The sequence below is a fragment of the Homo sapiens genome, chromosome 9 (assembly GCF_000001405.40).
Source record: "Homo sapiens chromosome 9, GRCh38.p14 Primary Assembly".
Taxonomy (NCBI): domain Eukaryota; kingdom Metazoa; phylum Chordata; class Mammalia; order Primates; family Hominidae; genus Homo; species Homo sapiens.
The window spans coordinates 135,595,794-135,622,162 of record NC_000009.12 but is presented as its reverse complement, the minus strand read 5'-3'; the positions used below and the strand labels follow the sequence as shown (position 1 = coordinate 135,622,162).

The 26,369-nt window shown below is 54.7% G+C and overlaps 1 protein-coding gene across 1 annotated transcript; it reads right to left on the bottom strand.

Annotated features, from left to right (window-relative positions):
* Positions 1 to 2,269: 2,269 nt before the first annotated feature.
* Positions 2,270 to 7,980, bottom strand: LOC102723971 (lipocalin 1-like). Its single transcript, NM_001375657.2, has 6 exons — positions 7,813 to 7,980; positions 6,665 to 6,801; positions 5,503 to 5,576; positions 5,147 to 5,254; positions 4,119 to 4,214; positions 2,270 to 3,230 (listed from the first exon to the last, which is right to left on the bottom strand). Exons 1-6 carry the CDS (start codon positions 7,921 to 7,923, stop codon positions 3,211 to 3,213), a joined length of 546 nt encoding a protein of 181 aa, NP_001362586.1. The 5' UTR covers positions 7,924 to 7,980; the 3' UTR covers positions 2,270 to 3,210.
* Between the last annotated feature and the right edge of the window lie 18,389 nt (positions 7,981 to 26,369).

Sequence of the window (26,369 nt, the reverse complement as noted above, 5' to 3'; positions counted from 1 at the left end):
AAAATCTATGAAAGTTTCAAAAGGATGAAAATAGATCTTACATTAGCCACAAGCCCTATATATACAGTATTAGTAATTACCTGGGCCAGATCTGGAAAGGGTGGGGGTATACTGAACTAAACAAAACTTTTTTTTTTCCTGCCAATTTATGGATAAGGCTAGAAGACTTACTGAGAAGGCTTCTGAAGTTTTATCTTTAAAAATTACGGAATCAATATTAAAGCATTGTAAATGTCTTGATTTGCATGGCAGAACAACAGGTAAGCTTGCCAATGTTGAGAACTTCCAGGTCCCAAGGCAAGCCTGCTTAGGAGACTTAGAAACCAGGTCATCCGGAAAAGCCAACATCTGTCCCCACCAGCCAGCGTGTGCCTCCCTCATGGTGGGTGCTAAATTGATTTCTAAAAGAAGTTTAATTTTGCCAATTTGATGAGCAAAAATAACCTCTCTTTTTTTTTATTTGACTACTTATGAAGTCAAACCTTCTTTTAATCAGCCTTTTGATCTATGCAAATATCCTTTTTTTTCTATCTTTTGCTCAGTGCTTTTTTTTTCTTTTAGAGACAGGATCTCACTCTGTTGCCCAAGTTGGAGTGCAGCGGTGTGATACCATGGCTCACTGCAGCCTCAAAGTCCTGAGCTCGAGGGATCTGCCAGCCTTAGCTTCCCAAGTAGCTGCGTCTATAGGCGCATATCACAATACCCAGCTAATTTTTTTTTCTTTTTTCTTTTTATTTTCTTTTTGTCTGGGGCTGCTTTTTGTTAAGGTTTTTTTTTTTTGGTTTTTTTTTTTGTAGAGACAGGGTCTTGCTATGTTGCCCAGACTGGTCTCAAGCTATCATTTGGCCCCCAGCTTTCCACAGCGATGGGATTACAGGCATGAGCTGCCATGCCCAGCCCTTCAAGGAGTTTTGATTTACATATGTATTTACATATGTGATATGAACCCTTCATCACATTTGCTGCAAATGTTAATTTCAGATTGTTCTTTCCATTTTGATTGTGTTGATGATGATTTTGACGAGCCGAGTTTAAAGCTCTCATCCTTTCCCGTGGTGTTGATACTGTCTGTGTAGGCACCCCATCCTCAAGTTATAGAAAATATAGAAGTTTCAAGGTTTCCTTTTATTCAGACTTGATCAGGAATGAATTTTAAGGTAATGTGTAGGGTGAGATAGCTAATCTTATTTCCCCCTTTCTGTCTTGCCCATTTCCCTCAACACTAGTTATTGAATAAATAATGCTTTTTTAGGACAGGCCATTTGTACTGTCTATGAAGTTGTTGTATATATTCGGGTTCATTCCTTGACTTGATACCCAGTTTCATTGCTGTTGTTCTGCCCCGAGCTAATGTCACATGCTTCTCATCATTGCTGTTTTATATTAGGGTAGAATGGTAGATCCATCTGCATGACGCTTCTTTTAAAAATGTTTCCAAACTTTTGTTCCTTCATGTAAATTTTAGATTCAGATCTGCAGTTTGGGGAAAAATCCCACTGGAAGAGTAATTGAATTGCTGAAGTCTATGGGTGAAGCTGAGGTTATCAACTCTACGATGTTGAGAGAGACACAGCACTCTCACGTCGCTATTTATCCCGGTCATTTTAGGGCCCCAGAAAAGGCTATTTTTTATGGTCTTACAAATTCCATAAACCTCTTGTTAAACGTGTGCTTTGTGATTGTCGTTTTTCCTTGTGTTTTTCCAGCTGGGCTTGTTGGTTTGCAGGAGACCCGTGGGGCTTCGTCACCAGCTTCATCACCAGCTCTGGGTTTCGTTCCATTGTGTTTTTCCCACGTGGGGGAGAAGGGAGAGAAGGGGGAGAAGGGGGAGACTGGGCAGACGGGGGAGACGGGGGAGAAGAGGGAGTAGGGGGAGAAGGGTGAGAAGGGGGAGATGGGGGAGACGGGAGAGACGGGGGAGATGGGGGAGAAGGGGGAGTAGGGGGAAAAGGGGGAGAAGGGGGAGACGGGGGAGACGGGGGAGTAGGGGGAGAAGGGGGAGTAGAGGGGGAAGGGGGAGAAGGGGGAGAAGGAGTAGGGGGAGAAGGGGGAGTAGGGGGAGATGGGGGAGACTGGGCAGACAGGGGAGACGGGGGAGAAGGGGGAGTAGGGGGAGAAGGGGGAGATAGGGGAGAAGAGGGAGATGGGGGAGTAGGGGGAGTAGGGGAAGAAGGGGGAGAAGGGGATACTGGGCAGATGGGGGAGAAGGGGGAGAAGGGGAGTAGGGGGAGAAGGGGGAGATGGGGGAGACAGGGGAGAAGGGGGAGACGGGGGAGATTGGGGAGAAGGGGGAGAAGGGGGAGAAGGGGGAGAAGGCCTCACTGGAGGCGTTTTCGGGGCAGCCTCTGGACATACCTGTCTTGGGAGTTCCAGACGACAAGTATTGAGTCCCTGACCCAATTTCCTCAGAGCCTGCCCTGCCGATGGGCAGCCCTGGCTCACCGGGTGCAGAAGTGGGCGCCGCCCTTCAGAATCCTGGGCTCCGAGGAGTGGGCGTTGGCTGGTCTCACCTGCCACACAGGTACAGCTGTCTGTGTTTACCTGGCAGCCCCGCTGGGCTTCTGCAGAGAGCAGGGTCTGGAGCTGGGCTCACTTAGGGCTCTTGGACCTCAGTGGGGACATATGCGTTTGCTCACGGAGCATGGAGGCCACCTCTCTGGAGGGTCCCCAGCAGACCCAGGTGAGGTGGGTCACAGTGGAGGGGAGCTGGAGTCTGAGAACAGCCTCCGTGGGGTCATGTTCCTGAAGGACACTTGAGGGCCACCCCAGCAGCCCTGGGGAGGGGGGTGCATCGGAGGCACCTGGGACTACAGTGCTCCACTCATTGTATAAGTTTTGGAGGCCTCTGGCGCTGCGGGCAGGAGCTCAGGGGGCCATGTGCCCCCTCCTCACCACCCTGGGTGTGCTCCAGGCCCACAGGCCAGGCTGGGGCACACTGCTGGCCCTTGGCTGTTGGTTGGCAGGTGGTTGGCAGGACCTGGAGACGCACAGAGGGAAGAGGCCTTCCCAGCAGGGGAGGGGACCAGGAGAGAGGCAGGGTTGGGCTCAGCTGGGGAGCTTCCTTGAGTCCCTGAGATGCAAAAGGGCTTCCAGGGGGACCTGGGGACAGTCCAGGCCACAAGCCAAGGTGAAGGAGGTGGAAGGGAGGCTGAGGGCAGCAGAGGGGTGAGGGGCCCAGGCAGGAAGACTCCAGAACCGCCAGACCTAGGCTCAGGGTGGGGGACATGGGCCTGTGGAGCAGAAAAGAAAAAGGTGGTGATTCTGAGGACTTCACTCATTCATTTTGAAATCAATCAATCAGTAAATCAATCACATAGCACAAAACAGCCATCCCTCACTGGCATCACTGGGCCTTCTGCCTCCCCATGTTGGCTGTGTCCTGCCAGGGCCCTGTGCTCTGTGGAAACCCACTCCCCTTGGGGGCCCACAAGGCCCCACCCACTGCCCCTCTCAGCCTTGGATCTCATCCCTGCCCTCCTCTGCTTGGCTCCTGTTCCAGCTGCATGACCCATCTTCCAGGGAGCCTTCCTCCCTCACCTCATCTCAGGGCCACCCACCCTGGCGGCCCGTGCTCACACAGCACGGTCATGCTCCTCAAACCTTGCTCTAGCCCCCACTCCCACCCCCATAGCACTTGCCTCTAACAAATCAGGTAATGACAATGCTTGCTGCAATGTAACCTGCACTAGGGCTGGATGATGTGTCTGTCTTGTTCTAAGTGAATCCCAAACTCCCAGAACAGGCCTGGCCCGTGTGCTTGTTGATTGACTGAATGATGCGTTGGGAGGCAGCAGAGGGGAGAGGCTGGCTGGGCACTTGGCTCAGGAGGCTGGAGATCTGGATCCCTTCCAGCTCCTCCTCCTGGCTGTGCAACTTGGCCTTGTTACCGAACGTCTCTGAGCCACATCTGTAGAGTGGAGACGGCATTGGACCCATATCACTGTGTCATGTGGGGCTGGTAAGATCCGGCAGCCCCTGAAGCAGCCGGCACAGGCCTGGCCGTAAGGGGAGTGCGGATGGGCTACACCCTCAGTGGTGCTGGCTGGGAAGACGAGGCCCCAGACCCTCAGGCCCTCTTCCCGTCCGGCTCCAGGATGTGGCTGGGGGACAGTGCTCACCATCTATGTTGAAGACCGGGGCTTTCTGCAGGTGGAATTTCTCCACGTACTCCAAGTATCTTCCCAGCCATTTGGGGTCCTCCAGCATTCTTCTCGCTGGAATCAGAGGGGCTGACAGTGAGGGGCTGAGGCCTGGAGCCTCTGTCTTTTCTGTCCTCCTCCTCCTCTGCGGAGAACAACGGGGAGGCAGAGGCCCTGGGCATCGGCCACCCCACCACTAAGTTGCCACGACACAGTCTGGGGGCTCTTCGGACCACGGCAGCACCCCCTCTGCGACCTCCCAGGCCCGGCCAGCTCTGATTGCACCGGCCCCAACCTTGCCTCCTCTAAACACAGGTCTGTTCTGAGCACGGCAGGTAAAATGCCCCTGGAAGGAGGAAGTCAGGCCTGGCCTGCCTCAGTGGAGACCCCCAGAGAGTCCCAAGTTCCGGCCTGGTGCCACCCCTCCCAACCCCTCAACCTTCTTGGCCCTGGGGCCTCTCGGCTGCTGCTGCCCCGCTCCCCCACCCCATCCTGGGCTCGGGCTCCGGCTGATCCTCTGCCCTGAAATGCCCCCAGCCCCATCTATCTCCACCTCGTCTTCAGGACACTGCAGCCCCTCGATGTCCCCCACTCAGTCCCCTGTGCCCTTCGAGCCCTTCTCTCATGGTGCTTTTACTTTCAGGAGCCCCCCAGGACCCCGAGACATTGCTTGATAAGGAGGAAGACAAGGAAGGTGTTTTCTCAGTTTTATCCACTGATAATTCAAGCTCCCAGTGCAGCGCCCAGAGCAATGCCCGCCTTGTAGCAGGCCCGCAGTGCACGTCCTGCATGGGGACACCCTCCCTGAGGGGCATGTGTCGGAGGAAGAGCTCAGCTGCGTCTCGGCCCAAGGCTGCCTGTGCCCTCAGAACACCCTGCACAGAAGGCCCCCTCCCAGACAGGACAGCAAGTCTCTGCACAGAGCCGGGAGTGTCCAGCAGCTCCGCCCTCATGTCTGGGGTCTGAGGCACTGCACCTGCCAGTGCTGGGGAGAGCTGGCCACTTACCCAGCAGCACCCACAGGTTGGTGATCTCATCATCCTCAAAGCGCACGTAAAGAATGAGGTTGCTGTAGTCGGTGCTGACGAAGCATACGTGCATGCTGCCGCCCTCGACTGTTGGAGACCCCGGGCCAGCTGATGCACGATGCCTCTCTCCTCCGTCCCCCAGGCCCTGGACCCCCCCATGCCCTGTGGACATTGCAATGCCACCAAGAGGATGCACAGCTTCCTTCCAGCACCCGGTCTTCCCCCAAAGCCGACAACCCCTTCTGAGTGTTGCGGCCGGGACTGGACATCCGAGCGCCCCTTGCTCGCCCCTCCCCACTCAGAGCCCAGCCCAGATCCCGGACAGGGGCACTCACATGAGCCTTGGTACTGGCCTTGCAACTGGGTTGGATGGACGGTGATGTTTGTTTCTTTACACACCCCTTCTCCCCTGGGAAAAGAGAAAGGAACCAGGGCCTGGTCAGCCTCCAACTGTGTCCTGTTGCCCTTTCCCAGGACGTGGTGGCCCTCTCAGGGCTCTCCACCAGGGGACACTGTGGCTGCCACCAGCTGAGAGCCCTCCTGTCCTCCCCGGGGCGTCAGCTCCCCAGACTCAAGGGCAGCCTCGTCCTGGCACAGGCACCAGGGTCATGCAGCCAGGAGGTGGCGATGCCCAGGGGGTGCTGGGGATGGGACTGGAGTGACGAAGTGGAGTCTTCCTCACTTCTGGGATGACACCAAGCCTCCTGGAACAGATGGGTCCCAGTCTGGCTTTGGCTCTGAGCTCCAGGTTTTGGGGACTGGGACTCTGACTGTCCTGCCTGTCCCCACTTGCTCTGGCTCTGTGCATAGACAGAGGCCCCTCGCCCCCATGCTCCTGCCTCCGTGCATAGACAGAGCCCCCCTCACTCCCATGCCCCTTGCTCCGGGGTCTTCAGTTTCTCATTTGGGGTGGGTGCCCACCAACCCCTGGGACTCTGCAGGCCACCGTGCGGTGTGTCTACGACTGAGCGTCTGCTAGGATGTGGGTCTAACTGCCTTCGGAGCTGTGGGTGCAGGCGGAATAACGGAAGCTTGTTGTCGGTGTCACTGCGCTCAGCGTAGCTTGTCCCCAGGGCCGATTTTCTTTTGCTGACAGTGCAGCCGTCCTCGGGATTCCCTGGCTTACATCGGGGCCGGAAGGGGTGTGGGCCCAGGGTGGCTGTGGTCCTTGGGAGAGGGATGTTGGGAATGAGGCAACTTTCAAACACTGGAGATCGCACATTTAAAACTCCAGACCCGGGCTTCCTTCACAGCTGGAACACAGGCCCGTGGCCCAGTGGGCGTGTCTGCTGGGACTGGACGTTGCCTCCGGGGCCGGGCTGTGTGTTTCCTGCCCACCTGCCTCTGGCAGCTTCTGAGCTTACCCCTCTTGGAGCGGGGTCTTGGGCCTCAGCTTGGTGTGATGTGTTCCTCTGGCTCTGAACACTGTCACTGTTGCTTGGGGGTCCCTAGGTCTGAGAATGAGCGCCTGAGAGGGGCGGCAGGAGCCGTGCTTACTTCCAGAACAGCACGAAGTCCACGTCCCCGCCGTCCCTGGTCCGGATGGAGTGGAGAGCGAGCCTCAGGGGGTCGGCCGGGGAGACCAGGTCTGCGTGGTTGGCTGCCAGCTGCAGGGTGAGCCAGCGCCCCTCCACCTGCAGGGGTGTGGGCCGGGGCAGAGGAGGCCAGCTAGCGCCCGGCTGTGTGGCACTCCCTCCACATGCAGGGGTGTGGGCCGGGTCGGGAGAGGCCGGCTAGTGCCCGGCTGTGTGGCACCCCCTCCACCTGCAGGGGCGTGGGCCGGGACAGGAGAGGCTGGCTAGTGCCCGGCTGTGTAGCCCCAGCAGGCCACCCTCTGGGCTCTCAGGCCCCAGGTTCGGCACTGAGCATGGTCAGCAGGTGGTCGTGCCCCTCCCAGGGGGCTGCACTGGCAAACGTTCCCCCTTCCTGGTCTCTATTGGCAAATGCCCATCTGTGGGTCCAGGTGGAGGATAAGCTGTGCTTACTTCTTGGGAAGAGTCACCTCCCGTCCCCTTGTCTCAGGTCTCTGTCCAGTCCCCTTCCCCACTTGCTGCCCCCACTTCCCTCAGCCCTGCACCCCTGCCTCTGCCTGGTCCAAGCTCTGTTCCCCTGGTCAGGGAGGGCAGAGGGGAGGGTCTGGTGCTGTGCCGGGTGTCCCTCCATCCCTGCACTCCCACCAGCAGCACCAGGACCCCAGGGGCCACACAGGGAGGAGGAGCTGGGACCCTCCCTGTATCCAGGGTTGGCCTCTTCGTGTCACCCAGGGTGAACCCCTCCCCTGCTCGGCTGGGTCCCCTGGGACCCTGCTCCCTGCCTGGGCCCAGTGTCTGGGCGCTCTGTTTCTCCGGCTGCCGCCCTGCAGCCTTCTCCTGCGACCTGCTGTTGTGCTGTAGCTTCCGCAGCCCGGAGAGAGGGAAAGGCCCCGAGGTTAATCAGTGGCCGCTGGTGCTGGCTGCGCGGGAGGACAGAGCCCGCTCCCGCCTGGGTTGGACCCAGGTGCAGCTCACCCTCCAGAGCTGCTGCAGGGTCAGGCAGGATCTGAACCCCGGCACCCCCCTGTCTGCCCCACCCCCTGCACCTCCTCAATGTGACACTCAAGCCGTTGTTCCAGGCCTGAGTCTGGGGACTGGACCCATGACACGTACCTTCTGCGCATTGAAGCCCGGCTGTACCGGTACCTCTTCCAGAGCCTTCTGGGCACCCGCCAGGCCCAGGCCAAGGGCCAGCAGCAGGAGCGGGCCTTTCTCCAGGGCCATGGCTCCGGGGAAGGGGGAGCGTCCCTAGCCAGCTCCCTCCTCTGCGCTGCCCGGACCCACCTGCCACCTAAAAGTTCCGCAATCCCACCCCAGGAATGACACCGCCTCTGGGCACCGCCCCATGTCTAAAGTGATGCGAAGCTGTTGTTTGGACTGGGTGTGGAGTGGCTGTCGGGGCAGTTTAACTGCATTGCACGTCTGTCCTGGATTCTGGGATGAGGCCTGTGCCTGAGGGGGGCTGAGAAGAGGGCAGAGGAGGACGTGGGCTCATTCGGGCCTGCAGTCCCTCCTCCCCAGGCCCCCTGACCCCCAGTGTGTTTGTCCACCGGCTGCTGGAGCCACGAATGCCAGGATCACTCTCACATCTCTGTTCACCTCATGCTCACGGTGGGGCCTGCCCGGGTGTGGGGAGGGTGGAGGGGGTGACACAGACCAGCTCTGGGATGGCACTCGGCACACGCCAGGCACTCGTCACGGGGCGTCTGTCCCTTGTTCCTGCTTACTGCAAACGTCTCCCACCAGCCCCCTCTCTCCAACCCTGGAGCCACTCCCAGGCCACGCCATGAGCCTCTCTCCTGCCCCATCCTCCTGCCCCTGTGTGTGCATAGGCCAGCGTGGGGTCGGGTCAGGTGCTCCCTGCTTGCTCGTCTTTGGGTCCTCCTTTGCCATCTGGATTAAGTGCAGATCTCCAGGCCACAAAGCCCCTGTGGTCTACCCCTTCCCCACTCCCTCCCTCCCTGCTGCAGCCGCACAGAGATGCCTGCCAGCCCTTGAATGTGGCACCTGCCTCTGTACCCCGCCCCCGCCCTGCCCTCCTTCCTCCTGCCTGGGGCTGCATGGGGCCAAGGAGAGGCTGCCTGACTGCTGCAGGTCCCAGCTTCCAGGGAGTCTGGAGTCTGGTGTGGGGAGTACAGCTGGCCTCAGGGTGACCACTCGCTTGGCCTCAGGGTTCTTAGATGGACACTGAGGGGCTACTCTGGGCTGGTGCTGCACGAGTGATGCCCCGCCAGCCCCCTCCAACCATGGAATGTGGCCAGTCCCAAGTTCCACCCACTGAGCTTCTGTTTTATCTCCAAAGATAGAGAGCGGGCAGGGATGCCATGGTCTGTGCAGGGTGCTCCGAGGACGGAGTCAGGTAATAAAGGAAAGAGCTTAGTTGAGTGCCTGCTCCCCATAAGCTCGCTGTGAAGTCAGCTCCCAGCCAGAGGTCCTGGCTGAGGGTCCGGTTAGGTTTACAGGAAATGCACCCAGCCCATCAGGGAGGCTCCGAAGCCCTGGCTAGGGAGGGCCTGGCCTGATCTGTGGGGTCTTTCTGGAGGCTTCCATCAGCAGGCCAGGGTGAGGCAGCTCTCCCAGGTCAGCCTTGGTAATGGCCAGGCTAGAAGATGAAGTCTCATTCCCCACCCCTGGCCACAGGCACAGGGACTCAGGTGGGCCTGAGGAGACCTCAGGCCCATCCCCTATGTCCTGGAAGACACAGCAGCTGCCGCCCATGGCTGACTCAGTCTGAGCTCCCACACACCCTCCAGCGCTGAGCTGGCCATGCTTGAGTCAAGGGGCCGGGGACCGATACAGCATCCTGCATCCTGCCTACACCCCCTGGGGCCCTGGGGAGGCCCCACCCTGCACTGGCTCAGCTCCGCATGCAGGTTCCAGAAGTGGCCATGGCTGGGCAGGGCTCAGCGCAGCGCGACAGCTTCTGGCCTCCATCCCTCTTCCTCCTTCTGGGTGCAGGATGTCACTCAACAGCAGCCACAGTCAACCTCAAGTCTGCCTGTTTGCTTGGGCCTTAGGGGGTCCTAGCGCTCCCTGTGGACCTTCCAGGGCCCAGCTGCTGCCCTGGGTCTGTGATTTCTGCCTCTGGGCACCTTCCCCTACTTCCCAACCTCCCTGGTGTCTGGGTGCTGGCCTGAGATCTGTGTGCAGGGATGAGTGCAGGTACGTGTGAGTGTGTAAGTGTATGTGTGTACAGGGGTATGTGAAGCGAGTGCAGGGGTGTGTGTGCAGATGTGTGTGAGTGCAGGGGTGTGTGTGAGTGCAGGGGTGTGTGTGTGAGTGCAGGGGTGTGTGTGAGTGTAGGGGTGTGTGTGTGAGTGCAGGGGTGTGTATGCAAGTGTGTGAGTGCAGGGGTGTGTGTATGCAGGTGTGTGTGAGTGTAGGGTGTGTGTGCGAGCATGTGTGAGTGCAGGGATGTGAATGCAGGGGTGTGCATGTGCAAGTGTGTGAGTGTGCACGTGTGTGTGCAGGTGCGTGTGCAAATGTGAGGTCGGGGTGTGAGTGCAGGGGTGTGAGTGCAGATGTATGTGCAAGTGTGTGAGTGCAGGGGTGTGTGTGTACAGGGGTGTGTGCAGGTGTGAGTGCAGATGTGTGTGCAAGTGTGAAGTCAGGAGTGTGAGTGCAGGGGTGTGTGAGTGTGCAAGTGTATATGTGTGCAGGGCTGTGTGTGCAGGGGGCAGACAGAAGGGGTGACTGGAGACAAGGCAGGGGGCACCAAGACCAGGTGCCAGTTTCATGCCATCTGGGGTGGGAGGAGGCTGTGGCTCTTCCTGAGACCTCAGTGGGAGCTTCTGGAGGGTCCCCACCTGCTCTGCGAGCCCTGCACACCTGGGTAGAGAGAGTAGGGTCTTCCTCGGTCTGCAGATTCCCTTCCTACCTGGATGTTCTGACAGGCCAGGCCCTGGACCAGCCATCTTTAACCAGCACCGCCCATTGGCCTCTGGCCCAGTGGACTGGGGACTGCACCGGGAGGGCCATCCTTGGAGCAAGACCCCATCCCTTCTGGTGGAAAAGGCCGCTGGCCCAGAGCAGCAGATGTGGACAGGGCCAGGGGTCAATTCACCCACAGCTGGAGTTTGTGCACCTTGGTGTGGATTAAAGCAGAAAGCAGAAGTCACTGCTGGAGCTCAGTGACCCCCCAGCCCTGCCCACAGCAGCAGTAGCCCAGTCCCAGACTCTGCAGAGCCCTGGACCAGCTAAACCCACCCCAGACGGCCCCTGGTCTCCTGGCTGCCTCTTGGCACACGTGCTGTCAGGGTGAATTTCCTATTGGGGAGTGTGGTCATCCCATAGCCTGCTACAGTTCAGGTCCCAGCAAGACCCGAGGCTACACAAGTGGCCCCCAACGCTGTCCCTTCCTGATGCCTTCTGTAGGTGTGCGGGTCTCATGTACCTGCTGCCCACGCTCACCCACACAGCCATTTCTGCGGCCACCAGGGCTGCACCAGGTGGTGCATGGGGTTGAGGGGGTGGGGTGCCAGGGAGGTCACAGGTGACCAAAACCATCTGTGATCAGGATGGCAGGTGAAGAGGGTACCCTGGCATCTCCATGGAGGGAGACCAGCCCGTGGGAGGGGGCTCCAGCCCCTGACCCTCACAGCCCACCCCCCTGGACTCTGTTCCTTTTCTCCTTCCACTGTCCCGGTATGGGTGCTCCTGTCCAGGAGTCGAGCAGCACCTACCTCAGGCCTCTGCCACAGGGAGGCTGCCTCCCTTGTGATTTTCCGTGTCAGTCATGGCAAAGTCAGAGCCATGAGAGTGAGATCGTTTTTGCCCTTCTCTATGACAGAAAATGGAACAGCTCACAGATGTGGGGATCCACCAGCCACCTCCCACCCCAGTGTGCCCTGCCCCTCCCAGCTGGCTCAGCCCCGACCCCCATCTCCCTCACAGCTCAGTCCTCGATGGGCACCTGGAGCCCAGGATCAAACCACAGGCACAGACCCAGACCACTGACGTCATGTGTCTCTGTCTCTCTGTCTGTCTCTCTTTGTCTCTCCATCTCTGTCTCTCTCTCTGTTTTTCTCTGTCTCTCTGTCTCTCTCTGTCTCTCCATCTCTGTCTCTCTCTCTTTTTCTCTGTCTCTCCATCTCTGTCTCTCTGTCTCTGTCTTTCCATCTCTGTCTGCCTCTGTCTCTCCATCTGTCTGTCTCTGTCTCTCCATCTCTGTCTCTCTGTCTGCCTCTATCTCCATCTCTGTCTGTCTCTGTCTCTCCATCTCTGTCTCTCTGTCTGTCTCTGTCTCTCCATCTCTGTCTGTCTGCCTCTATCTCTTTCTGCCTGTCTCTGTCTCTCCATCTCTATCTCTCTGCCTCTGTCCATCTTTCTGCCTGTCTCTGTCTCTCCATCTCTATCTCTCTGTCTGCCTCTGTCTCTCCATCACTGTCTCTCTGTCTGTCTCTTTCTGTCTCCCCATCTCTGTCTCTCTGTCTGTCTCTCTCTGTCTCTCCATCTCTGTTTCTCTCTCTCTCTGTCTCTCCTTCTCTGTGTCTCTCTAGGTCAGAAGGATGGCAGGCCAGACGCATGGAAGAGGGGGCGGAAGGACCTTCCTAACTCTAGCAAATCCTGCCTTCAGTGCCTCTCTGCCTCAGGCTCACCCAGCCCAGGCCCTGGCTTAACAGGACGCCCGTCCATGGAGCACCCAGGAGCGTGAAGCTCACCTCCCTCTGTTCCTCAAACTTCCAGCCGTGACTTTTATTCCCAAAGGGAAATCTTATGTGCACCCCAGACCCTGGCGTGCCCCTCCCCGCAGCGGCCTCCCCCCAACCACCCCGCCTGTCTCAGACTTTCAGCTGGTGGGGAGGGGACCTGCCCGAGTGTGCGGGACCCTGGGAGTCTGAGACGCACAGCTGTGGAGCCACTGCTCGGGGTTTTTGAATTTCTGTGGTGTCATCTCCTCATTCCTGCCCCACCTCACCTCACTGCCCCTTCTGGAACCTTCCCACCAGGTCACATTTACATCAACAACTAGCTCACGCCAACCCCCATGTGAGCCACCTGGGAGCCACGGTGACTTCTACTCATGATCAAAGTGTAGTCCCCTGGGTGTCTTCTCCCATGTAGAATTCTTTCACGCACTTTGTTTTTTCTAAAACAGAAGCAGCCTTCCTTGTGAGGCGTGCCTGCTAGAGCTGGCGCTGTTAGGGTCACCTGGGGCGTGAATAGGTCGCCGGCCTTGGGTTCACCCAGGAGGAGCCGAGGGCTGCCATCCCACCTTCCAGGGGAGCAGCTCAGACGGGCGGCCCTGAGCCCTGTTATCAAGGCCCCCCTGGGGGCTCAGGGCTTGGGGGGAGCCATAAGCAGTAGGGAAGCCCAGGGGGAAGGGGTTGGGTGCGGGGATTCAGCCCTGGGCTCTCCGAGGGGAGGAGGGGGAGCGGAAGTGGAGACCTGGGGGCGGGGTGGGCGGCCATCAGAGCCCCTGTCGCACGCAGGAGTAGGTCTTCGAGCTGCCGTTTTCCAGGAGTTTGATGTCTGACATGAAACACAGACGCGGGGGCGCCTCCGCCCTCAGTGATGGTCCTTGGTGACACCGAGTTTCACGGAATGTCATGGCCCCTCCACCTGGAGGCAGCAAGGCCTGGTGTCCAGCCCGTGGCAGGCCTGCTGAGCCCCTCGTCCCCAGGTCCTGGGCTGCAGCAGCGATGGGGGCCGGGTGTGCACAGGGTGGGTGTGCACTTTCTCTCATGTCATGTTCTGGGCCGGGGTCTTGGGGGCCGCTGACTCTGAACCCCCTCCCCAGCTGGGCTGGCCAGCCTGGTGTGGCCCCTTTTGGGCCACGGGTGACGCTGAGGGGGTGGTGGGGTTTCCCTGCATCTTCTCCTACCTGGGGCTGCTGGGTCTGTGGCTGTGGGGAACACGGTAGGCAGGCCTGGCCAAGGGCCCCAGGTTCTGAGCCCTGCTTGGACCCTGGCCAGCCCGTGGGGAGGTCTCAGGTGGCCCACACCCTGAGGGGAGCCCAGAGGAGTGAGGGTCAGTGTCCCGTGGTTCCTGCCCTCTCCAGGGGTATCATTCTGCAGGTCTCCCTCTGTCAGCACGTTCAGAGCCCTGTGAGTTCTCAGTGCAGTGCCCACGACGGGCCTGACTCAGCTGTCCCCTCACTGCCACCTCCCCGTGTAGCAGGAGGCCTGTGCCTCAGCATCTCCGCCTGCAGAGTGCCATGGAGTGCACAGTGTGCTGTGGGGTGGCAGGGTTCCAGGACAGGCCTCGGGAACATCGGCTGCCCCCACACACCCTGCCCCCAGAACCCCTGGAGCACCTCCTGCTCAGGATGGAAGTCTGGCTGTCATACCGCAGGGCTCAGGCCAGGCCCAGCCCCATGCTGCGGGGCCACAGCCTCATCGTCCCTGATTATGGCCATTTGGGGACATGGGGCTGCGGGGACATGGGGCTGCAGGGTGGATAAATGGCTTCGCCCAGGTGCTTCTATGCGCTGCTTCAGAGGCAGGGTGGCCCAAAGAGAATAGGCCCAGGCTCCTCACCCACCAGCTCCCTCCCCACCTTGCACCACCCGCCGGAATCAAAACATGTGGCGAGCCAGGGCCTTCCAGACGCTGCCAGCCTCGGGTGACATCAGCTTCTGCTGATAAGGTCAGGCGGGGTCTCGGGGCTGGGCTGCCCTCACGGGACTGGGATGGGCCTGGGAGAGATCTAGACCAGGGCACACCTGAGGGCCCTGAAATCTCAGCCCCACTGCGGGTCGCTTGGTGGGGGTTCTCCATGTTTCTCTGGGAAGAGGCCATGGCTTTCCCTAGACTCCCAAGAGCCTGTGGCCACCACGAGCTTAAGAACCACTGGAGATGAGGCCGTACTTTTGCCCCTGGGGCCTTGGACCCTGTCTCCCAGTCTCCACGCGCAAGCAGCTTCCAGCTGCTTTGGGGACATAGAATGGCTGTCACCACGTGGGTGAGCTGGGTCTCTGGACCATGGCAGCCGGACAGGTGGGGCAGTGGCTGTCAGGGGAGCTGAGCAGAGGCCTTGTTGTGTCCCCACAATGGCTGCCTGGGGGGCTCTGGCAGCCCTCCTGCTACTCTGACCTGTGTGCACACATGTGCGCCTGTGAGCACGCGTGCCTGAGCCTGTGCGTGTGCATGAGTGTGAGCACACGCGTGTGATGCATGTCCACAGACACATTTCTGTTTGTGTGACCGTGAGTACGCGTTTCCTTCTGTGCACGAGAGGAAACTCGAGATTCTCTGGATGTTGTGGGAATGTTCACATTCTCCTCAGAAAGCCACACGCTTGTTCCCAGAAGCAACCTTGATAAAGGTCAGCAAAGTGCTCAGGGGCCTGGCCGAGAGCTGAGGGTGGGGCTGGGCCGACAGAACCAGGCCTTGCACGGTCTGTGGTACCACAAAGGGCTGAGTGTGAAATCAGACTTTACCCATCAGATCCCAGACACTGAAGCAAGGGGGCTTTCGGAGTAGAGAAAAGGCGGGAAGGAGGAGAGCGACTGCGTTCATCTGAAGGATAAATGGGAGGAAAGGCCCAGAAACCTGGTGATGCAGGCGGACAGCAGAGTGGCAGGTGGCAGCTCTGTAGACATCAGCTCACCTGGCACACACCGCGTGCACCTCCAGGATGGGGAGAGATGGCCACGCGTGAGGTCCATAGAGGCTTCTGGAACTTGCAGCGCAGCTGGGGCCCCACACAGAGCTACCCAGGTGGGGGTGGGGCTGTGACAGCTGTCCGCCTTTCTGAGTGGGGCGAGGTGACAGGAGTAGTCAGAAACAGTGTTCCAGAGGTGGGAACAGCATGTGTGAGGGACCCAGCGGAGCCAGCGACAGCCCAGCCCCCTACTCGAGCGAGCCCCGCCGGGGTGGGTCCCAGAGGCCCAGGGCTCTGGGGGCTCAGTGAAGGTGGGTGGTGCTCCATGAAGTCACCAAGTGGCTAGGCCAGGCCCCGTGAGCTCCTGGCCCATGGGCAGAAGCCAGGCTCACCTGCGTGGTGGGAGTAGTTGCTGGATACAGCTGGGTTTGCATTTCACAGGCCCCTGTCGGCGTGGTAAGGGGCCTTCTGCAGGCCAGGGTCCCAGTGGAGGAGGAGAAGACCGGACCCGTGCCTGCCTGTGGGGTGGCAGCCGCAGCCAGTCCCTGAAGCCCCACTGCTCTGCTGTGGGCTATTCCTGCCCCACCCCATCTGCACACCTTCCTGGCCAGCTGGGAGCCGTTCCACGGGGACCCTGTGAGGCTGCCACCTCCAGCCTCAGAACGGTGACCCCCTTGTGGCCTGGAGAGAACACATGTTCACTGAAAACAACTAGCAGGCTGGGCGCGGTGGCTCACACCTGTAATCCCAGCACTTTGGGAGGTTGAGGCAGGCCGATCACTTGACGTCAGGAGTTCGAGACCAGCCTGGCCAACATGGTGAAACCCCGTCTCTACTAAAAATACAAAAATTAGCCAGGTGTGGTGGGCGACTGTAATCCCAGCTACACCTGTAATCCCAGCTACTCAGGAGGCTGAGGCAGAAGAATAGCTTGAACCTGGGAGGCAGAGGCTGCAGTGAGCCGAGATCGTGCCACTGCACTTCAGCCTGGGCGACAGAGCGAGACTCCATCCCCCCAGAAAAAAAATTACATAGTGATGGGGTCTCCCTGTTTTGCCCAGGCTAGTCTTTGACCCCTTGGCTGAAGCGATCCTCCCGCTTCAGCTTCCCAAATAGCCAGGATGTCAGGTGTGAGCCCCCATGCCCAGCCTATGCCATCAGGTCCTGCCTCTTCCACCCAGGGAATCCCACGGGGACAGGGGGAGGGCAGAGGGGAAACAGGCTCTGAGCAGAGGGAGCCAGGTCCACTCATCAAGGAGCGGCAGGCCCAACAGTTGCCAATCACCCTCCCCTGCCACACTGATGTCCCAGCCAACACGGCCACCGGCGACCCTGAGACACGAGAGCTGATCAGGAGCCACTGGCCTGCATCCCAGGTGTGAAGGATAGGAGCCAGCATGGCCCAGGCAGTGTTGGGGACACCCATGGCCCCCTGGGGACCCCACTATCACTCACCAAGGCCAGGCTGGTGGGTCAGAGATGGAGGTCACCTGGGAGACAGTCAGGGCCCAAGCCTGGCCACATGGGCAGAAAGCCCGAGAAGCGTCGGGTGTCAGGTGCCCCAGATTCTGCAGATTCTCCCTTTGGACGTTTCCACCCAAACATGCCGCGTGGAAGCTGCCTCCATCCAGGCAGCGGGCCTTGGCGGTGCTCCAGGAACCTGCTCTTCCATAGCAAACAGGCCTGAAAACCCAGGCCAGAACTCCTTTTTGAAAACAAGTGGGAAAAAATAAACAAACTGAAAAGAATTCTGCTGAGACAGCGAGCAAAGCACTGGGACGTGCCGGCCACCCCCGAAAGGCACGGGAAGGGAGCCGGGACCCCAGTGTGCAGGTCACCCCGGAAGGAACCAGAAGGGAGGCGGGACCTGGGACCGACAGGATTCTCCTTCAAGACCTCCTGCCTTGCAGGTGTGCTTGGCAGTTCTCTCCCTCCCCTCTCCCTCCCTCCCTGCTTCCCTCCTTTCCTCCTTCCTCATTAGCAAGTCAGCAACACTCTGGAGGCTGAGACCCACCTGGCCGCTGTATGCTCTGGGCCTGCTGGGGGCTGAGGCTGAGGTGCCCTATGTCCGCCATCCCTCTTGCCCCGAACGCCCCCTTGGCCTGCTGGTTGTCATGGTCATGACGCCCACCTGTGTCCAAGGGTGAAGCTGCTTTCTTCAATGCACCATCACGGACATGGGGAGGCCAGTGCTGTGGCAGCGTTTCCAAATTAGCTTGACCCACAGGCACAGGGCACCCCCGGGAACCCCTACCAAACGCCCCCACCTCATGAGGAGTGTGTCCCCCATGCACGGCCAGGGGTGCGCTTTGGGATCTCAGAGGTATCCCCACGGAGGCACCCCAGGCCCTTGCGGGGTCTGAGCGTGCTGTGGTGGACAGGTGCAGCGGGCGGGAGGCAACCGTGTGAGTCTCAGCTTCTCGGCCTCTGAGCCGGGCTCGCCGTGCACAGCTCACACGGTGATGGTCTCTGTGCCTTGGTGGGCGGGTCAATGGACCCAGCGAACATCCGGCTCAACGGTGACAGCAAAGCCTACCTCGGAAGAATCCGGTTTAGGAAGAATCTGCGACTCTTAGGCTGCAGAGTGAGGGTGGGTGGCTCAGGCACAGCAGGTGTCTCAGAACGAGGGTTAGGGCCACAGAAAGACTCCCTGGTAGAAGTCCACCTGGTCCACTCGGTGGGGCTTCCGAGTCTTGCCCGACAGTTGCTGTCCTCCAGGGCTGTCATAAACGCAGATGAAAGCAGGATGGCTGGACTTCTTGGGTCACATTTTCCACCAATATTTCTGTAAAATTTGGCCCGATTTTTCCCAGGGCCCTTCCACGCACTCAGAGGACTCGGGCGCCACCAAGTGGCCATCGTGGGGACGTCAACGGCCGGGGTCGCACATCCTCCGGTGAGGCGAATTTTGTATGAGTTAAATCCTTCGGGATTCAAGGTGACAAACTCCTCGGGGGCTGCCTGTGGGCTCGGCATCCATTCTGTCCACGCTCCAGCCCCGGGAGCTCCAGCTGCCTGCAATGTTGGACTTGCTTCTAATTTGTCACTGCATTCCCTGCTCTTCTATAGGGATCAGCACCAGGGTTAGAAAACCTCTGAAGGCCGAGGCAAGTGGATCACCTGAGCTCAGGAGTTCGAGACCAGCCTGGCCAACATGGTGAAACCCCATCTCTACTAAAAGTATGAAAACTAGCTGGGCGTGGTGGCACACACGTATAGTCCCAACTACTCGGGAGGCTGAGACAGGAGAGTTGCTTGAACCTGGGAGGCAGAGGTTGCACTGAGCTGAGATCCTGCCTCCAACCTGGGTGACGAGAGTGAAACTCGGTCTCAAAAAAAAAAAAAAATTAAAATAAAGAAAGAAAGAAAGAAAGAAAGAAAGAACCCCCCTGGACTTGTGCAGCGGAATTAAGTTGCGAAAACCCTGGAGGCAGATCTGCCATCCGTGGAGGGGGTAACTCGGAACCCATCAGCAGGGTGCATGCTGACCTGTGAGATTTGGGATGCCACATGGCCCCCGAGCCTGGGAAAGAGGCAGCCCCAGGGGGAGGGTGTCCAGAGGCTGCGGAATCTATGGCTAATCATCTATGCAGTTGTTTAGGGATAGGGGTCGATGGGGGAGAAAACCATGCTGAGGCCTAGCGGAGCCGGGGTCACGTCAGGCTGGAGTGGGGCGGCTGTCCCAGGTCACGGGGGTCCCTGTCAGGGGAGGGGGAGCACAGTGGTTAGGGGAGCAGCTGTGACAGTTACGTGAGATGGGACAATCAGCATTTCCAGGGTGCTGCGGCGGCTGCCAGAGCAGGACTGGGTGATGATTTGGGGAAACAAGGCTCTTCCCTTATGAGGGACCCATGGAGTCAGCGGCAGGGTGGGGACACTGTTGGGAGTGGCCATGTCCACTGCTGTCCTGAACACATCCTGAAAGACCAGCGCGACCTGGGGAAGGCACCCACGCCTGCGCCCCACGCTGCCCCACGAGGGTAATGACACAACACAGGACTCAAAGGCCACCCCATAGATTACAAAGCAGCGTCCTTCCTGTTCGCCCTCTGGTGGGCGGGTGTTGCATTGCAGTTTTAATTTACGTTTTTCCTGATGAATAACCATGTTAATTAAACATTTTAATGTTTTTTTTTTTTGTTTGTTTGAGACAGAGTCTCGCTCTTGTCACCCAGGCTGGAGTGCAATGGCACGATCTCGGCTCACCGCAACCTTCACCTCCTGAGTTCAAGCGATTCTCCTGCCTCAGCCTCCCGAGTAGCTGGAATTACAGGTGCCCGCCACCACGCCCAGGTTTTTTTGTTTGTTTGTTTGTTTTTTTGTATTTTTTTTAGTAGAGACAGGGTTTCGCCGTGTTGGCCAGGCTGGTCTCGAACTCCTGAGCTCAGTTGATCCACTCACCTTGGCCTCCCAAAGTGTTGGGATTACAGGCATGAGCCACCGTGCTGGGCCAGCATTTTCATATTCTTTTGTGTGCGTGTATGTGTGTGTAGGCATGGGGTCTTGCTATGTTGCCCAGGCTGGTCTCAAATTCCTGGGCTCAAGCAATCCTCCAGCTTCGGCCTCCCAAAGCACTGGGATTACAAGCGTGAGCCACCTGCCCAGCCCATTTTTTCTTTTTGCCGTTTAGGCTAAGGTTCTGTTCGAGATGCTTGTCAGTTTTCAGTGGCGTTGCCTTTCCTTTCCATTCTGGATGGAAATCCTCTCTTGGACAAATCCTCTCGGTGAACAACTGCTCTGTGGGTTGCCTTTTCGCCCTGTTAATTGGGTCTTAATCACTACATAATCCAATTTACCTAAACTTTTCTTTCATGGTGGGCTGTTTTGGAGCCTGGTTTAAGAAATCTTTGCAGACCCCCAGGCCACAAAGATGTTCTGTGTTTTCCTCTGAAGCCTTACTGCCTGGTGCGTCTGGAATTGATTTTTGCATATGGTGTGTGTGGGGGTTTCAAAACGCATCTTCCAAGGCCGGGTGCGGTGGCTCACACCTGTAATCCCAGCACTTTGGGAGGCCAAGGCAGGCGGATCATTTGAGGTCAGGAGTTCGAGACCAGCCTGGTAGACACGGTGAAACCCTGTCTCCACTAAAAATACAAAAAAATTAGCTGGGTGTGGTGGCGCATGCCTGTAATCCCAGCTACTCAGGAGGCCCAGGCAGGAGAGTTGCTTGAACTCGGGAGATGGAGGTTGCAGTGAGCTGAGAGTGTACCACTGCACACTCCAGTCTGAGCAACAGAACAAGATTCTGTCTCAAAAAAACAAAAACAACAAAAAACTGCATCTTCTTCACGCTTCCCTAAGTGATGCCACACCATTAACAGAGAATTTCTTAGCCCCCCACCCCACCCCCCAGCTCTGCCTTCGTCATTGATCTGGAGCTGTGTGGAGTCTGTTTGTGAGCCTCTTTTCTGTTCCATTGATCAAGTTGCCAATCCTTGTGTGACATCACACTGTCTGCATTACTGTAGCTTTATAATATGCCTTCATTTTTATTTCTTTATCTTTTAAATTTTCTTTTGAGAGGGAGTCTCGCTCTGTCACCCAGACTGGAGTGCAGTGGTACGATCTCAACTCACTGCAGCCTCCGCCTCCTGGGTTCAAGCAATTCTCCTGCCTCAGCCTCCCAAGTAGCTGGGACTACAGGCATATACCACCACTCCCAGCTAATTTTTGTATTATTGTGGAGACAGGGCTTCACCATGTTGGCCAGGCTGGTCTCGAACTCCCGACCTCAGTCGATCTGCCTGCCTCAGCCTCCCAAAGTGCTGGGATTACAGATGTGAGCCACCGCACCTGGCTCATTTTTATTTATTTTGAATGTTGTCCTTACTATTCTTGCTCCTTTGCAATCACAATTGAATTTTTTAAATGAGCTTCTCCATTTCTACACACAAAAAAACCACTGCGTTCAATGCAATCAGGATTGCATTGAATTTACAGATTAATTTGGAGAGAATTGATGTATTGGCAACATTGAACCTTCCAATCCATGGATATGGTATATTTCTCCATTCAGAGCTTCTTTAATTTCTCCTAATAGTGTTGCCTATTTTTTCAGTTTAGAAGTCTTGCATCTCTTTCTTTGCCCTTTAAAAAGTCAGATTTAGTGAGGATGCTAGTAAAATTCTCCCTTTTTAGTGTACAGCTCTACGAGTTTTGACAAATGCACACATAGTCATGGAACCACACTATAATCATGATACAGAACAGCTCCATCCCCCTCCAAATTTCTCTCATGCCCCTTTGCGGTCAACCCTGCTAAACCACGCCCTGAACACTGCTAATGTGACCTTTTGTGTATGAATTTCATTCACTCTGCATGATGCTTTTGAGAATATCCTTCCTGTTGCCTGCAGCAGTTTTTTCCTGGTGACTCTTTCCATTCACTAGTTCATGGACATTTGGATTGCTTCCAGTTGGGGGCAATTATCAATTAAGCTGCCTGCTACAAGTGTTCATGTACAAGTCTTTGAGTGAACATACGTCTTCATTTGATTTGGCAAAATACGTAGGAGTGGGACTGCTGAGTAGGGTGGCAAGTATGTGAATTGGAAATGAAAAACACTGCTGATCTCTTTCCAAAGCAGTAGTATGATGTAGTTTAGATGTTTGTCCTCTCCAAACCTCATGCTGAAGTGCAGTACCCAGTGTTGGAAGTGGGGCCTGGTAGGAGGTGTTTGGGTCATGGCTTGGTGCCCTCCTTGCAGTAATGAGTGAATTCTCACTCTGAGCTCATGTGAGATGAGATGTTTTCTCTCAGTCTGAAGCTTATCTTTTCATTCTCTTAATGGAGTTGTTTGCAGAGCAAAAGTTTTTGATTTTGATGAAGCTTATATATCAATTTTTAATTTTATGGGTCATGCTCATGGTGTCAAGTAAGAACTCTTTGCTAAACCCTAGATTATGAAGATTTCTTCCTATTTTTTAAAAAAGTTTTATAGTCTCATGTTTTATATTTTAGCCTGAGATCCATATTTTGCACTAATATTTTTATAAGGTATGAGACTTAGATTGAAGTTCTTTTTCTATATTCGTTCTTTCTTCCTTATGAACTTCCCTTCCCTTCCTCTTCCTTTCCTTTTCTTTTTTGCTTAAGGATGTATGATGGCACAATTTGTTCCTTAATTGTACTGCTTTTTCACCTTTGTCAAAAATTGGCTGGGCATATTTGTGTCAGTCTATTCCTGGATTACCTACTCTGTTCCTTTGACCTATGTGTCTTGTGCTTCTACTATGATGTCTATTTGCAGATGACATGGCTGTTCACATAGAAAATCTCAAGGAATCCACAAAAAACAAACAAACAAAAAAACTCCTAAAACAAATAAATGATTTCACCAAGGTGGCAGGATACAAGATAAAGGCGCAAAAATCAATTGCCTTTTTCTACATACTATCAATGCACAGATGGACACTACTAATACCATACAGTCTTGTAACTACATAATAATGTTTGAAATAACATTCGATAAACTGATTCCTTCCATTTTATTCTTCTTTTACTAAAATAGTTTAGCTTTTCTAGTTCCTTTGCTTTTTCCCCATAAATCTTAGAATAATCTTACCTGTGTCTACCAAAAAGATTGCTGGAATTCAGATGACAATTGCATTAAGCTTATTTATCAATTTGGGGAGAATTTACATCTTTACTATGTTAAGTCTTCTAGTCCATGAACACAATAAGTCTCTCCGTTTATTTAGAGCTTTCTTGATTTCTTTCATCAGCATTATTTTCAGCATACAGATCGTGTACATTTCATACAGTTTACACCTAAGCATTCCACTTTTTTCTGAGTGATCATAACTGGCATTGTATTTTACATTTCAGTGTCCATCTGTGCATTGCTAGAATGTAGAAAAAGGCAATTGATTTTTGTGTCTTTATCTTGTATCCTGCCACCTTGGTGAAATCATTTATTTGTTTTAGGAATTTTTTTGTTTGTTTGTTTTTTGTAGATTCCTTGAGATTTTCTATGTGAACAGTCATGTCATCTGCAAATACACATCATTCTATTTTATCCTTTCAGCTCTGTAGGCTGTTAGAAACTATTTCAGGTCCTCTCAAGTAAGCATTAGGGGTGGCAAGAGGAAGGAAGGACAGACACAAATAAGTGGAGAAACAGACAAAAATCAGTTGATTGAGAAGAATATTTTTCAAAAACAGGATCTGAAAAGGAAAAAGGCCTAAAAGCTTTTTTTTTTTTTTTTTTTCTTAAAGACAGAGTCTGGCTCTGTCACCAGGCTGGAGTGCAAAGGCATGATCTCGGCTCACTGCAATCTCTGCCTCCTGGGTTCAAGTAATTCCCCTGCCTCAGCCTCCCGAGTAGCTGGGACTACAGATGTGCACCACCACACCCAGCTAATTTTTTGTATTTTAGTAGAGATGGGATTTCACCATGTTGGCCAGGATGGTCTCGATCTCCTGACCTCGTGATCCACCCGCTTTGGCCTCCCAAAGTGCTGGGATTACAGGTGTGAGCCACCACACCTGGCCAGCATAAAGACTTTTTAAAAAATATAATTATAGCTTGCAATCAGCTTTTAATTAATCTGACTTCTAACCTTGGAGCTCTTTAAAAGAAAAAAAAATCCATTTAAATATCTTATTAACAGATTTTAGCCAGGACAAACAGCTTATATTTCTGGCTTTTGAACTTCTTTACCAAAGATAACTTTCCAAGTGAAACCAACAAACCTTAACCAAGGTTATGACTTAACCAAGGATGCATGAGACATCTCCAAACAGGTGCAAGGTAGTCGTCACAAGATCCAGAATCACCTCAATGACAGCTTGTATTGTAGTCTGTTTTCATGCTGCTGATAAAGACATACCTGAGACTGAGACTGGGTAATTTACAAAACAAAGAGGTTTAATTGGACTCACAGTTCCACGTGGCTGGGGAGGCCTCACAATCATGGCGGAAGGCAAGGAGGAGCAAGTCACATCTTCCGTGAATGGCGGCAGGCAAAGAGAGAGAGAGCCTGCGCAGAGAAACTCCCATGTTTAAAACCATCAGATCTTGTGAGACCCATTCACTGTCAGGAGATCAGCAAGGGAAAGACCCTCCCCCACGATTCAGTCATCTCCCACCGGATCCCTCCCACAACATGTGGGAATTATGGGATCTACAAGATGAGATTTGGGTGGGGACACAGCCAAACCATATCACAGCTCCAAGAAAGGAAACTTTCACTCGCCATAAATGGGGCACAACCCACATTTCTATCTGGCTATATTTTCTAGGGTCTTAGCTTCCCAGCTGATGGTCTACACACAGAGGCCCCAAATCCCTGTATGCCTTCACCGGCAGAAGACAGGAAATCAAAAGCCGTCAATGGAATGGAAAAGCATCAATAACTGGGAAAAGTCACACAAATATCAAACCAAAAGAATTCCCTGACCAGGAATCAAACCCAGGCCATGGCAGTGAAATCGCAGAATTTTAACTATTAGACCACAAAGAACGATGGCTTTTGTTATTCCCTCAGGCCATCTGAAGTAAGGAGTTTGAGTCTCCAAAGATTTTAGCTTTGTTTTAGGTTAGATTTTTCTCTTTCATTTATTCAAGAGCATTTTTAAGGCTAGCCATGACACTATCATGTTTTCTTTTTTAAAAGAAATCCGATCACCCCATCATTTTTCAACATGGAAGCCTCTGGGGTCTCTTATGGTGGCTGAACAGAGACTTTTCTCTTAGAACTAAGGCTTTCTATGCTTTCCCTTTAGAACTAAGGTTCTTGCCTAGCACTAGGGTTCTCTGCAATTACACTTACCTTAGGAAGGGTTCCTTAGAGTGTCCTTAGTGTGAGAGTCCTCATAAAATCTTATGGACCAGCTGAATCTGACTGGACTGGGAAGTTCCCCTCCTAAACCTGGGCCAACAAAGACATTCCCTCCAGAGTCCAGATGGAGGGAACCAGGACAGGGACTGAGGAGGAAACAGGAAGAAATAAAGGGAAGGGATAGAGAGAAATAAAAGTCTCTGAAGTCTTCAATCTAAAAGCAGGAGATCTCAGATCCAGGGGACCTTACCTGGCTTCCTCCCTGTGTGGTCAGCTGGGGAGACAGCTGAGCTGAAGACCTTGATGCATTGACTTCCAATCATGCTGGGAGAAACTGGTGCTCTCTGCAGATCCCATCCTCATTACCAATCATGTCAACTGAAGAATGATGAGGTTCATACGTTTGGAAAGGAGAGTTTTCCTTCTCATAAGGGGTTACAGCCTGCAGGGTGGCCATTCTGACAGGCTGAGAAGTGTAGCCTTGGGCCAGGAGCTAGAAACAGAGATTTCCACAGAGAGGAAAAAGGAGCAGGAATTTATGCCCAGTAGAGTGACTGAATATGCATATTTAATAAGCTATAGGAAGAGTTATGAAAGGAGAAACATACACATGGGCAATGGAGCTTCATGCTGTTGCACGTAGACCAGCTAGAACCACTCTGTGGTCAGTGGTCTCTTATCAGGAAGGAATGCTGGACAATTGTGTTGAAACCATAAAAAAGGGAGAAGCAGTGTCAGGCGCTTGATTGATATCCACAGTGGAGTCTTTTGAAAGGGCTGGTTTCTATTTAGCCCTTAGGGAATAAAGTCCAATGGCAGTTAGTGTGTGTGCAGGGGGTGGGGGTAATAAGGAGGAGTGTGTGATCCCCTCATCCTGTCATGGCTTAGAACTCAGCTTTCAAGGTTACTTTGGGGCCTGCTTGGCCAAGAGGGAGTCCGTTCAGCCAGTTGTGGGGCTTAGGGTTTCATTTTTATTTCCCAAATGTCATTATAAAAAGAAGAGAGATGAGACCTTTCTCTCTACCATGCGAGGATACAGCAAGAAGGTGGCCATCTGCAAACCAGGAAGAGAGCCCTCACCAGACGTGAAATCTGCCAGCACTGTGCTCCTTTTCTTACCATTCCCAGAACTGTAAGAAATAAATGTTTGTGGTTTAAGCAACCCAGTGTGTCATATTTTGTTACAGCAGCTGGAACTGACTAAGACAGAGAGAATGCATTCAGTTGTTCACAGGTGAGTATAGTATTAATTGTAAGCTTTCTGTAGATGATCTTTATCAAGTTAAGGAAGCTCCTCTCTATTCTTACTTTTCTGAGTTTTTGAAAAAAATTATGAGCAGATA

What these genes read in the sequence shown, in the direction of transcription:
- LOC102723971 (NM_001375657.2), bottom strand. Translation starts at nt 7,923, where the DNA reads ATGGCCCTGGAGAAAGGCCCGCTCCTGCTGCTGGCCCTTGGCCTGGGC. An exon ending in CGGGCTTCAATGCGCAGAAG is followed by an intron (nt 6,802 to 7,812) that starts GTACGTGTCATG and finishes ACACCCCTGCAG; the next exon opens with GTGGAGGGGCGCTGGCTCAC. An exon ending in CAACCTGTGGGTGCTGCTGG is followed by an intron (nt 4,215 to 5,146) that starts GTAAGTGGCCAG and finishes CTCTGATTCCAG; the next exon opens with CGAGAAGAATGCTGGAGGAC.